This window comes from Homo sapiens, chromosome 2, assembly GCF_000001405.40.
Source record: "Homo sapiens chromosome 2, GRCh38.p14 Primary Assembly".
Classification (NCBI taxonomy): Eukaryota; Metazoa; Chordata; class Mammalia; order Primates; family Hominidae; genus Homo; species Homo sapiens.
Window position 1 is genome coordinate 228,532,589 of NC_000002.12, and position 13,076 is coordinate 228,545,664.

At 36.3% G+C, this 13,076-nt stretch overlaps 1 long non-coding RNA gene across 1 annotated transcript in view, besides 1 other annotated feature; it reads right to left on the reverse strand.

The window, feature by feature from the left end:
• The window catches only part of LINC01807 (long intergenic non-protein coding RNA 1807), a 128,137-nt gene that overhangs the window by 49,330 nt on the left and 65,731 nt on the right, over positions 1-13,076 (reverse strand). The gene's annotated exons all lie outside the window — the stretch shown is intronic.
• Positions 8,894-10,093: an enhancer, noted in NCBI's record as "MED14-independent group 3 enhancer chr2:229406198-229407397 (GRCh37/hg19 assembly coordinates)". NCBI's record gives its function as "activates an origin of replication core promoter dependent on BRD2, BRD4, P300/CBP and CDK7 cofactors, and independent of MED14, by STARR-seq in HCT116 cells {active_cell/tissue: HCT116}" and the evidence as "EXISTENCE:reporter gene assay evidence [ECO:0000049][PMID:35650434]".

Below are 13,076 nucleotides of genomic sequence, written 5' to 3' on the forward strand. Positions count from 1 at the left end.
CTATATCTCCTTCTCCCTTTGCCATCTGCAGTACCAAAAAAATATCTAGAGAAGGTGTCTAATGACTTGAACCCCTTTAAAGAATTCAGAAGGGCACCACTCTCCTATTTTGGATGTTTCTTTGTGGAGTTCCAAGAGCCATGGACAGAATCTTCTTAGGTATAAAGCTCTGTTTTCTTGTGTTGCATGACCTGATCTTTTTGGCTTTGGGGGTACCAGAGATGTCCTTGCGCTGTGAGAGGATTTGACCTTGGTGTGTATAATGGCGGATGAGAGCTACAAAGTTATGAGTGGCCTAGTGCAATTTACAAGAAGTGGTCTAGGCTATTTTTTTTTCTTTTTTTCTCTTTTAGGAAGTTGTTGTTTAAGGATCCAAATTTTAGTTCAGAGACACATTCTAAAGAGTCTTCTGTATTGCTTTTTTTCCCAAAATTGATCTCAATTCAGTTTGTCTGTGCACATTTGCGTGAGGAACTGAACTGTTGTTTTCATAGGTAAATGAGAGACTGAGTTTTCTCATCTCTGAAGGGAAAGGACATCTGCTCCTACCAGCTGAAAGGTGCCCCTGGGTGAACAGGGGCCTTGTGGGAGTGTTTGGGGCATTGACCCCCAACAACATGCAGTGGCCCTGCAGATAAATCATCAACAAAAATTAATTTAAAAAATGGCTCATCCAGAAAACGCATGCAAGGGCTGATCACCCAGTGTTTTGAGCCCTCTCAGAGGTCATAGGCCTCTGGAGAGAGAAATGACACACATAAGAGGGTGGGAACAACTCAGTGGTGACAGACTGTGGAGTCCTGCCCACAAGCAGCACACATCAATCCACCACACAAAAACCCTAGGCCACAGCTCAGTTCCTCCTTTATGAACAAAACAAAACAAAACAAAACAAAACAAAACAAAAGCAGGAAACAAATAAACTAAGAATGTGGAGAAAACAAGGAGAATGACCCCTTTTTGAGCCACTCCAAAGGTTTTAAGGCACCTCTACTTGCCAGAGTAAAACGGGAGTCATATGGTCTTCATGCACATTTACATTAAGGAGAAAGAGCCCTAAGGTCGACCTGCAAACTCTAGAGTTCCCAGAGTCCCTGTTTTTCTATTTTCTTTTTTGCCTGCTTTGTATCTGCTGTTAGTTTTCTACTGAGATAAAAACCACTGTTTGGATGTAACCATTTTTTGTTTGTTTGCAAGCCAGCAAATTTGTATTTATATCATGGCTAAAGTACTGAAGTAAAAGCTATAGAACCTTGGTGTGTGTATGTGTGTATGTACATGCATGTGTGTATATATTTGAAGGCCTTTATAATAAACTTCTAAACTTTTATGTTCAATTGAAAATTTAGCTGACAACTGCCTAGGGTAAGACTTAAAAAGAAGAAGGCTGGGCATGGTGGCTCATGTCTGTAATGACAGCACTTTGGGAGGCCGAGGTGGGTGGATTGCTTGAGGTCAGGAGTTTGAGACCAGCCCGGCCAACATGGTGAAACCCCAACTCTATTAAAAATACAAAAATTACCCAGGTGTAGTGGCACATGCCTGTAATCCCAGCTACTCAGGAGGCTGAGATAAGAGAATTGTTTGAACCCAGGAGGTGGAGGTTGCCATGAGCCAAGATTGCAAGCATTGTACTGCAGCCTGGGTGAGAAAGTGAGACTCCATCTCAAAAAAAAAAAAAGAAAAAAAAAAGAAGGAAAAAAAGAAGGTCTTTATTAATCTATAAGATACACTTTTATTGACAGGCCTACATCTACATATTTATGTGTTGTGTACACAATGTTTCACTATTAAAAAGTACATAAAAGAGCTCTAACTAGTTGGCTTAAAAAATAAATAAAAGTGCTTAAATCAGATACTACTAAAGAGAAAAAACTAGTCAAATGCTTTTTCAAGCTCATGTGACTTAAAATCTTTAATAAATAAGCTGGCTTTAAAATTATTACTAAAATAACATTAGAAATGTCTTAAGAATTTGCCAGCATACATTTTTGTTTGCATTCATTAATCAAGAAATTTTACACTTATCCCTTCCAAATGCTATAAGGTGTCAAAACTGGGCACAGGGTTTACAAAACTATAAATCTAGCCCAAAGCAGAATGATCTTTGCTTGTGTAATCTTTAACAAATAGGACATTGATATTAGTTTAATAAAAATAGCTGCATCTTAAATTTAGTAAGATTATCATAACTTCTAATCTTGTGACTTTAGGTGATCTAGCCCACAGGCAGTAAGATTTGTTAATGTCTTTGTTTCAAAACTAAACTATAAACTAAGTTGTTCTCAAAGTTAGTTCAGCCTATGCCCAGGAATGAACAAGGGCAGCTTGGAGCTTAAACGCAAGATTGAAGTCAGTTAAGTCAAATCTTTTTCACTGTCTCAGTTATAATTTTGCAATGGTGGTTTCATAACTTTAAAAGATGACTATCTCAGTTTTCATAAATAATCTAAGTAAATGATTAAAACAAAATAATTAGGTAAGTGTATAGGATGAATACTTGTAGACAAACTCTTCATAATTTAGAATCTAAAGTTATATTAAATTAAATAATAGATATTTCATTATTTGGGTATATTTCCAATAAAAATACATTTGTAAGAAAACATTTTTTCTTAAAAAAAGTGTGTCCTTTTAAAAAAGGTGAAAGATTTTTTTCTATTTCAAGGTTTATTCAAAGGTCATGTATAAAACAAGGTAAAAGGAACAAGGAAATAAAAGAAATGTTGTGGGGGCCATGACTGGGAGGCCTCCCCAGCTACGTGGGATGGTGGGTCCATTAAAACTCTTTTTCTCTATAAATCACCTAGTCTCAGGTACATCTTGATCAATAGTATGAAAACATACTAATACAGATATAAAGAATGTTATAACAACAAAAGCTTAAAGAGAAATAATTTCATATGAGAAAAAAATCTTATTTGGTAAATTTAGTCCTAGAATAAAATGACTGGTTGTTTAAGAAAGGAGGATTTCAGGAAAAAACAGAAAGTCCAAGCATGTCATGAATGGTCTGTGTAAGTCACAATAAGAGGATTCATTAAAAAAACAAAAACTATTTTATGATCAAGTTTTCATATTTTTATTAAGCTTTGTTTTGCTTAGAAAAAAACTGAGATTAAAATTTTATTTTTTAAATTAAAGTTATTACATCCATGTATCTCTCTGTATGCACTTTAAAAGTACTTATTACATTAAGTTACAGGGTTTTGACTCCTGGGTCTAAAAAGAACACCAAGTCCTGCTAAATGTTAAACAATGACAGCAATTAAAACCCCATCTTTAGGCCAAGTAGAAGATGCCTATCAAAATAAACTGCATTCCTGAAACACAGGGCCAGAAATTAAAGCTATTCAACTCCCCAAGGCCCAGGGACTAGCATGGAAGAGGTGGGTGTGTGAGATTATAAGGGCTGATTTTGAGAGATAAAATAAGTTCAGTTTCTCTATAAATTAATCATTAATGTCAAAGGTACATTCATGCAAGACCAGCGTAGGGACCTGTGTCAGATTAACAAGGTTTTCTTGAAGCATTAACTGACCCTTAAAAAAAGGCTATAAGGGTTATGAAAAGCTTATGAAAGTTATATTTTATGGTCTAGATAAAAATTTATAGAATATATACAAAATTTTGAAAAACAAATTTAATTGTCTTTATACTGTTTTTATTAGAGCTTATTGATTGGAAAATTAAGTCTTCTCTCGCAAAAAAATGAAGGTTTTTCACCTTTTCTTCTAAAATCCTTGAGCTATCACTTTGGTCAAATGAATGACTTATTTTACAATGACCTGTGATATCAAGTGTTTTAAAACTTTGATATTTGACAAAGTTTCCAAAATCAAATTACAAATTATGTCTTTTTCTTATCTAATTAATCCTTTAAGATATTAGGTTCCCTAAAGTCCAAAAATGACATAATTTGGCTTACTTGGTATAAAAATTATACAGGAAACATTGTCACATATGAAATGGTGTTTGGTTTTCTTTAGGCTGTATTTGTGTAAATACATTATTGGTACATGTTCCAAAATCATGGGCAACTCCTATAATTCTGATATGACTTAGTGTACATTATCAGTAATAATTATAATTGTTTAATTATTGTGTATCACAGAGGTAACCAATTTTCTTGTTAATTGGGTATTTGACTATGGCTGTCCTCAAACATTTTGTCATCCACAGACAATCGTTGTCTTGTTTTAGTCCTCCATAGAAGGTGGTTTTGTAATCTAATATGGAACTCTAACAGGTGTTCTTAAATGCAGGTTTCTGATAACTTTGGAGATTGTGATATTAGAATAGAGAAAAAAACATTCACGACTCTCGCGGAGAGCTAAAATGTTCATGAATGTCAAGCAAAACAGGAGTTAACTGCATGAACTGAACTAATAGAAGACTAAAGTAATCTTTTTAACTTTTAGCTTAAAAAATTGCGATCCTTTGTTTTGTTTTTCGGAGTCAAGAAGACTTTTCTTTTAAGCTATTTACACCTTTTAACAATTGAGTAAAGTATACTCCTATAAACAAATTTTAGAGCATATGTATTTCTCTCTACCTGATTTCTCCAGAATTTGGAAACTATTTGTGAGTATTCTTAACTTATGACAATACAGTTATTTACATAAGTGCATAAGAATCTCTTTTCATTTATTACAGGACACAACTGGAGAAGCTGGCTATTTTGCCAAGGCTTTGACTGGAATGGTGTGCTTTCCTTTAAGGAATCAAACTTGACTTAAGAAGTCAATAAAAGCCCCTTAAAAAACTAGCCTCCTACCTTTGTCTACACAGCCCCTGTACAGGGCTCCTGACCTCTGGTAGGTAAAGAATGTCACTTTCTGAGAGGCCCAGGAGCCTCAAGTTTATCTTGGAACCTCAAGAGGAGAGGATCACCCAACTCATACGTATTTGATGGCACAAATTCATGGCTGGGTTAGGCTTTAAAAAAGTCTTATCTGAGATTCGTTCTATGGAACAAAGTTTCATCAAAGCCAACTTAAAAGCCTATGTAGATATATAACTATTCTTGCTTTACTGTATACAAATAATTAGGCCAAGTGTAATAAAACAAACCAGTCCTACCATGATTTTTCTTTAGTAAAAATGGGACTCTGGAGAGAGAAAAAATGTTTCCAAAACTATATAGTACACTTGTTGTTAGATTCCAGTCTTGCCTAATGCTTTTTAATTTTTATTATGTTCTACTGTTTGGACCTGATTCTAATTTTTCTTGGCTACAAGCCTTAAAAATAATGTTTTCAATTCTTTTCCTTCTTTTTTCTCATTTTTTTTTTTCTTATTTAGAGTCGCTGAAAACTATGCTGTGCCTTCATAAAGCCCTGTGAGCTGAAGCAAGACAACTGAAACTTCAGAATATAACAGCAACCTATTTACATAAATAAGCCACTTTCATACCTGCCTACTAATGTATGGACTTCAGAGTAATGGGGCCTATATCAATTTTCCAGGATTGTTCTTTTGTTTATTGTGTTTTTCTTTCTTCCTCCCGCTATTTTCTCTTCACTGGATGTGAGACTTCACAACCTTTTTAAAAATAAGATTTCCTAATAACTTGGGACCTACCTGTCTAGGAATAAAGCATCCTAGCCATGAGAGAGCAGACAAAACCTGGGACCAGAGATTTGTTTTCTTCTAAAATGCTTTCTCCGAAATATTTTTAAAAAGAAAAGGGGAGAAATGTGAAAGGAAAATATCTTGGTCCCCCAGAATCACTAAGCTAAAGAGAAAATTCAAGCTGGGAACTGTTAGGGCAAACCTGCCTCCCATTCTATTCAAAGTCATCCCTCTTTTGAGATAAATGCATATCTGATTGCCTCCTTTGGAAAGGCTAATAAGAAACTCAAAAGAATGCAACCATTTGTCTCTTACCTACCTGTGACCTGGAAGCCCCTGTCTGCTTCAAGTTGTCCTGCTTTTGCTTCAAGTTGTTCTAGCTTTCTGGACAGAACCAATGTTCATTTTACCTATGTTAATTGATGTCTCATATCTCCCTAAAATGTATAAAACCAAGCTGTGTTCTGACCACTTTGGGCACATGTCATCAGGACCTCCTGAGGCTGTGTCATGGGTATGCGTCCACAACCTTGGCACAATAAACTTTCTAAATTAACTGAGACAAGTGTCAGATTTTCAGTGTTCACAATGCACAGAGTGGCTTTTTTATGGTAATGTTTTATAACAACACAAACGTACTTTGTCTTAGAGCCACTTCACATGCTAAGACTTTATAAAATGCCATACTGAAGAGATCTCTTTAGTTTGTCTCTTTTGATATCCAAGAGTGGTTTTTGTATAAAGCTGTTTTATTACATAATATTAACCTCAAAAAGCTGGGAATGAGAAAAAAATAATGAATACAAATTAAGTGTGGAGGACCTATGTGTACTGGACTAAGTATTTTGGAGGGACATTTAAAAAGACTTGAAGAAGAAACAAACCAGATTTCTTATGGAAAGAAAAACATTGCAAATATGTGGCTTTTTCAGAGGTAACTTACACTGATAAAGCAACACTATTTAAAAATACGATGAAGTACTTTTTGACAAACTACAAGATGATTTGAAAATTTAACTTGAAAAATAAATTAAGATGAATAACTGAGAAAATTTTGTAAAATATCAATAAGAATTTTCACAGATAATAAAAATATTAAAATTTTACAAGTGAAAGATAATTATTGGTGTTTGAATAGACAGAAAATTGAAACAGAAAACAAAGTCCAAAAGTGCACCCAAGCACATATAACAATTTAGCTGATAATAAAGTTGTCAAATGAGTTTAAAAAAAGATGAATTATATAGTAAATAATCCTAGAATAATTAGTAAATATTGTTTCACAACCAGTCACACACATTAGTCTTCTTATTACTCAAATTTGCCAAGCATTTTATGCATAAATTTGCTTTTCTGTTTTCCCAGAATGCCATGCCAATGCACATGGCTGCCTCATTCTTTTCCTTTTTTCTTTTTTGAGACAGGGTCTAACTCTGTTGCAAGAGCAGTGTCACAATCACGGCTCACTGCAGTCTCCACCTCCCCGGCTGAAGCAGCAATCTTCCTACCTCAGCCTCCCGAGTAGCTGGGACTACAGGCATGTGCCACCATGCCTGGGTAATTTTTAATTTTTTGCAGAGATGGGGTCTTGCTATGTTGCCCAGACTGGGCTCAAAGTCCTGGATACAAGCTATCCACCCACTTCACCCTCCCAAAGTGCTGGGATTACAGGTGTGAGCCACCACACCTGGCCATGGCTGCCTCATTCTTATCTTTAATTCAAATGTCAACTCTTCAGCACTTCTGCTTACTACCCAATTCCCCCACACCACTATGACCAAGTCAGCCTCTTTTCCTTTTATCTGTTTTTCGTTATAGCTATTATTACTATTAGAATTTTTATTGCTTGCTTCACTAACTAAAATGCCTGACATACAAAAGCTGGTCAATAGATATTTGGTTAAGGAATAAACTAATATTGTGGAGCAAAGACAATTTTTAAAAAATTTCTAAACATCTCAAAATTTTATGCCAAATATCGTAACAATTAAGAAAAGATAAGAGTGAAAAAACATTTACAAACATAGGAAATTAGCTATAGGTTTAAACTTATAATTAAAAATTATTAGCTTCCCGATAGAAGAATTGTGAAAGGGAAAAGTGGGTAATTCACAAAGGAGTGAAAACAAATATCTATAAAAATACAGACAAAATTAGACAACTAATAAAAGAAATGAATATTAGAACAAGAAAATATTTCTACTTGCCTTTGCCAAATTGACAATGACTCTGTAAATTATTTTTATCAATTGTAGCCAATCAAATGGACAAATATTTCACATATATGTTATGTGTGCTTGATTAATTTCCTGTTGCTTATCAAGAAAAGAATTCCATTCATTCTTCCACCACATGTTTATTAAACACTTAAGTCTCAGAAGCACCATTTAAATGGTGGAAATTTAATAATGAAACTGAAAATGTCCCTGCACTAAACTATAGCATATATTATATGCTATATACATTGTATAGTGAGACTGACACTAAATAGATGAACATCAATCAGTGAGAAAATATGTTTACAGAGTAGTAAAATATTCAGAAGTGATAGAAAATGATGAGAGCAGCTACCTTAGATTGGATAGTGAAGAACAGCCTCTCTGAAGTGGCATTTAGGCTAAAGCTGAATGAAGAAATTGGCTGAAAGTGCAGCCTTGGAAAGATCAAAGTGAGGACCTTCCACTCAGAGACTGCTAATGCAGGGTACATGCATTATGGAAAAGCTTAGTGTATTAAGAACAAGAGAGCAAATGTGCATGATAGGTTGATTGATACTTAATGAAGTCAGATTATGCAGGATCCAGGTCACATAAGGTTGTCTACACCAGGGAAAGAATATTAGATACTAGATGAAATGAGATGAAATCAGGAGATTTTTAAGCAGGAGAATAATGTACTTAATTTATGCTTTTTAAAGATTACTGAGACTGCACAGTGGTGAACTGGAAAGTTACACAAGGATAATGAAATCAGCACAGCCAAGCGGGAGGATGCTGTAGAAATTCAAGGAGGTGATAATGACTTGTATTATTAGGGTGGTGCGCGGGGAAGTGTATAAAAGTAGATGCATTTGCAGTATTGCTTTGAAGGCAGTTGAGTGGGTGTAGTGATAGATTTATAGGGAAAGGAAGAAGCATTAAGAAAACACCTAGATTCTTGGCTCAAGAATTCCTCAGAGCAGAAAAGGATGGACCATCTGACTGGAGAATGGACAGGTGGGCAGAGAGCCCAGCAGATGCTAGTGTGAAGAAATATCTGTGCATGTGGACCAGGCCAGAAGCTGATGCACTTCAGATCCTGCCGGTGTGGACAGGTTAGGGGCTTCTTCCCCACTGCTGTGATGCTACTACCTAAGCCTATCAAATTAAGCCATCACTCCAGGGAGAAAGTGGATAGGGAAATCCATTGCTCCCAAAATTGAGGTTTACCCTGAGTTGATAAAAGCTACATTTTCTGCCATGAGGCATATGGAACCTTGAAGCAGAAACTGTATTATATAGACAATTCGGTTGGTGTTTTTAAAATGTCATGCTGTGTATGTACCAAGAGGAATATGTTCCTGCTAAGCTCCATTTATCACGTTTCCTCTGTGTGCCGAACTACGGTAACATATTTACATGTGTTAGTCACTTAGTCCTTACAAAAACAATCCAAGATTATCCCCATTTTTCAGATGAGAATCTTGAGTCTCAGAGGGGTTATGAGATTTATTACTCAGTTTGAAGTGAGAGGGCCAAGATTAAAATTCTGTCAGGACTGAATCAAAAGTCCACAGATTTTTGCATCTGCGGCCCACCTCCATGAACGATCTCTCATCACACCATCTCTTACTGAGGAAGTGACTCAACCTGAATCAGTGGAATGTGGTTATTTTCTTCTTATGTCCCTGGGACTAAGGGGCATTTCATTTCTAAAGCTAGGCGCTTTCTAGTAAGCAGGTATGCTCTTTTCCTGTAGAAGAGGAACGAGAAATTATTGTGCTCATAGTGATTTTAAAAGTTAGAGCAATGTAACTTCTAGTGCTGTTCTTCTTCACCTTTCTCTTCTCCTTTCCCATTTTTGTTCTCAGATGACAGCCTTGCCTTTTAGTTGATTGAATACAGTGAAGACATCAGACAGAAACCTCCACAAGTAGCTGCCACCATGTCAACTTGCCCACATGCCCTTGGACCCAGAATTTACCTTTTTCTGTTTGAGAAGAAATGTTTGGCTAAGGAAAGTTAGAGAAGGTATTGAATAGCGTCTGATTTGGACTGATTGGTGCGAGTGTATCTCTGTGTGGTGTGGTGTATGTGTTTGCATGTGTGTGTGTGGTAGATAGTATGTTCATGTGTGGTGTGTGGTAAATATGTGTGTTTGTGTGGTGTGGCACGTGGTGCTGTGTGGGGAGAGAAAGGGAATGGTTGACTACATGAAGAGCTCACTCGAGGTGAGTTACCATGAAATTCAAGTGATCCCAGCCTCTATGGTGGAGCACACTGTTCTAGTAGAGTTTGGCTGCACAACTGCATACAGTGTAGACAAAGAGTTGTATCTAACCAGGGCTATGGGTGAGTCGAGCAGGATGGGAAGAAAGGGAGCTGAGTATGAATTCAAAGTGTTCATTTGAAAACTTGACTCTGCATCACTTCCAGCCCTACCCCTACCTCATGTCCAGTACGACCCAATTTCCAGCTGTTCCTTTCTCCCTCTTGCCCAGTTCACTGCAGACACACTGGCCTCCAGGACTACTCCCAGCTCAGAGTCTTTGCACTCACTCTTCCCTTTGCCTGGATCTCTCTAGCCTCCTCCTTGTCCTCTTTCTTCAAGTTGTCACACAAATGTTACGTGCTGCTGTGGCCTTTCCTGGCCACTTTATAGAAAATCCACTCCATCTGACATCCCATGTCTGCTTTATTCTTTCCATTAGCCTCACCACCTGAGCATCAGTTTAATTTACTTGTCTTATTTATCTTGTTAATTGTTTATGTTGAATGTAAGCTCAATCAGAGTAGAGATATTTGTCTTTCTTTGACATAGTTCTTTACACTAGTTTCCCTTCTACATTCTGTCTTTGCTCTACATGGCTACTTAATAAAGCAATGATATTTGTTGAAGAAATGAGCAAATGAATGAATGGATAGATGGATAGAATTTTAGCTGAGTAAGGAGTAAGATATGATAGGGATGAGGGATGGTGAAACAGTGAAAGGCTTAAAGACTTGTAGGGCCCACTGGGGAGCTAGGAATTGCTGACATTGAGGTATCAGAGGGATAGAATGGGGAAAAATGGAGGGGATGATCATAGTATGGGATAAAGCTATAGGCAAGACAAGGTTTCCAAGGTATAATTATGGAAATAAGATATTGAGAAGTGAAAAGTATTAGCTCCTTAAAGGAGAGGAGGCCAAGGAGGACATATTTCCTAACTATTGAAATCACCAAGAACAGGCTTGGATTTGGAAGAATGACAGTGAGACAGGAACTAAATCTTCAGAGAATCAGGGGAGTGATCTTGAGTTAAGAGAGATTGTGATAAGGAGAGAAGGTGCCTGGTAAGCCTCATAACATGAGGTTATGAGTTTTAAGAAAGGGAGAGGATATGGTTTGGAAGTGGCCCTGTGAAGCAAAGAGAAAAAGGTATAGGAAAGAAGCACATGGCCTAGAGGGCTGTGGAGAAAGTTGAACCTGCAGTGTTGACTGAGGACTTCTCTCCAGCTGGGGAGGTTTTTTTGTTTGTTTTTTGTCCCCATCGTATAGAGAAATTTATATCAGAGGTAAGGTACAGATGGAGATGAACTAAGGAAAAAAGGGTTCAACATAAAACCCCAAACCTTAATAGTGCTTCAGGTCTCAGTTATGATTTAATTTTTAAATTAAACAAAATAAATATGTTTTGTGTATTTTCCACATTTCCAATAATAAACATATATTACTCTTTAATCAGAAGATGACCCAAAAAACATGATGTTTAAATTACCATTGAAGGCACGACCGTATATATTTAAAAAAAAAGTTACCATTGAGGCTTTATATCAAAGCATCCTTGTTGATCTTCAGCAAATGCAAATCATCCAGGGGTTTGTGACTCCACTTTGCTGCCCTGTGCAAGCTCTGCTGTGGCATTTCCAGATACCCACTTCCCTGCTATTCCTTTCACCACTATTTTCATGTGTACCTGCCTCAATGCAATTAAATGTTGAGAACCTGATTAGGCTTTCTGGAGAGCTGTCACCAGGCCACAGCGCTGTCCTGTGCTAGCATGCTGACCTGTGATACCATGCTGACCAGCGACATTTTCAGACTGAAATCCAAGGCCATTATCAACTTTTATCTAAAGCTGCTAACTCTAGTGACACCTTCTAATCCACTTTGATTACAGACATTTTGGTGTATCACCCTCTTTCACCTTGATTCCATTATTACCACCAGATTAAATATATTAGGAGTTTAATTGAGCTCTAATATTAATTAACAAACTTCAAGGTCTGGTCCCTGCATTTCAAACTCAGGGTCATACAAATTCAGCAATTAAGCCTGCATTTAAATAAAGAAACTGAGTTAATAAGTATAATATATATTTAGTGTTTTATAATTAAAATACTTTTTAAAATACATTTGTTCATTCTACCATCAAACTAATTTGAACTATTTGCCTTCATTAGGAGATAAACTTAATATTGGTTATGGACTCTTGTTTTCCTGACCATTAACTTCAGCAATAACAAAACTATTTAGCATGCACAGCACATAATGTAGGAGATCAAGGTAATCAAAATTATCATTAACTGGTGGGATAAATTTGTCCTTTCTCCTTTTAGCCTCCAGCAGCCCTAAAAATATTGTGCAATTTGAAGTCTGTAAAAGGGACAAACATGTTGACTAGACTGTGCCTGGTGGAAAGAATTTAAAAGCAAATTTTTTCACTTGCTTTCTATCCAAAATAGTGTCTTCAAATTTTAATTCAAAAATGTTGTGCTTGAGCTTTTTATCTGCTTTAAATTTGTTTTTCTGCTTAAAAATAAGGTGGGGATGTTTTCATAAAAAAATGACAGTGTTGTGATTCAACCAGAAAGGAATGTAATCTGTAAAAATCTGTCTTCAGAAAAACAATTGCTTCCCTTCGGATGGTATGTGGCTTATTGGTTCCAATGCAGGCATTTTTTTTGTATAGCTCCATGACAGCCAGGTTACTCATCCCTCTTCTCCCTCCACCTTCTTGATAATGGAATGGTCTGATTGCTTTTAAAGCTTTATTGATGTATAATTCATATATAAAAAGTTGCACATACTCTATGTATACATTTTAATGATATAAGCATGGACCTATGAAACCATCACCATAACCATGTTGCTGAACATATTTGTCGCCTCCAAAAATTTCCTTATGTTCTCCTGAGTGTGTTTCTTGTTTTTTTGACTTGGCAGGGGTTGCTGTTGCTGTCTATTTATGGTAAGAACACGAACATGAATTAATGTGAATTGAGATTTGTTATTAAATGTAAACTAAGGAACCTTTAAAA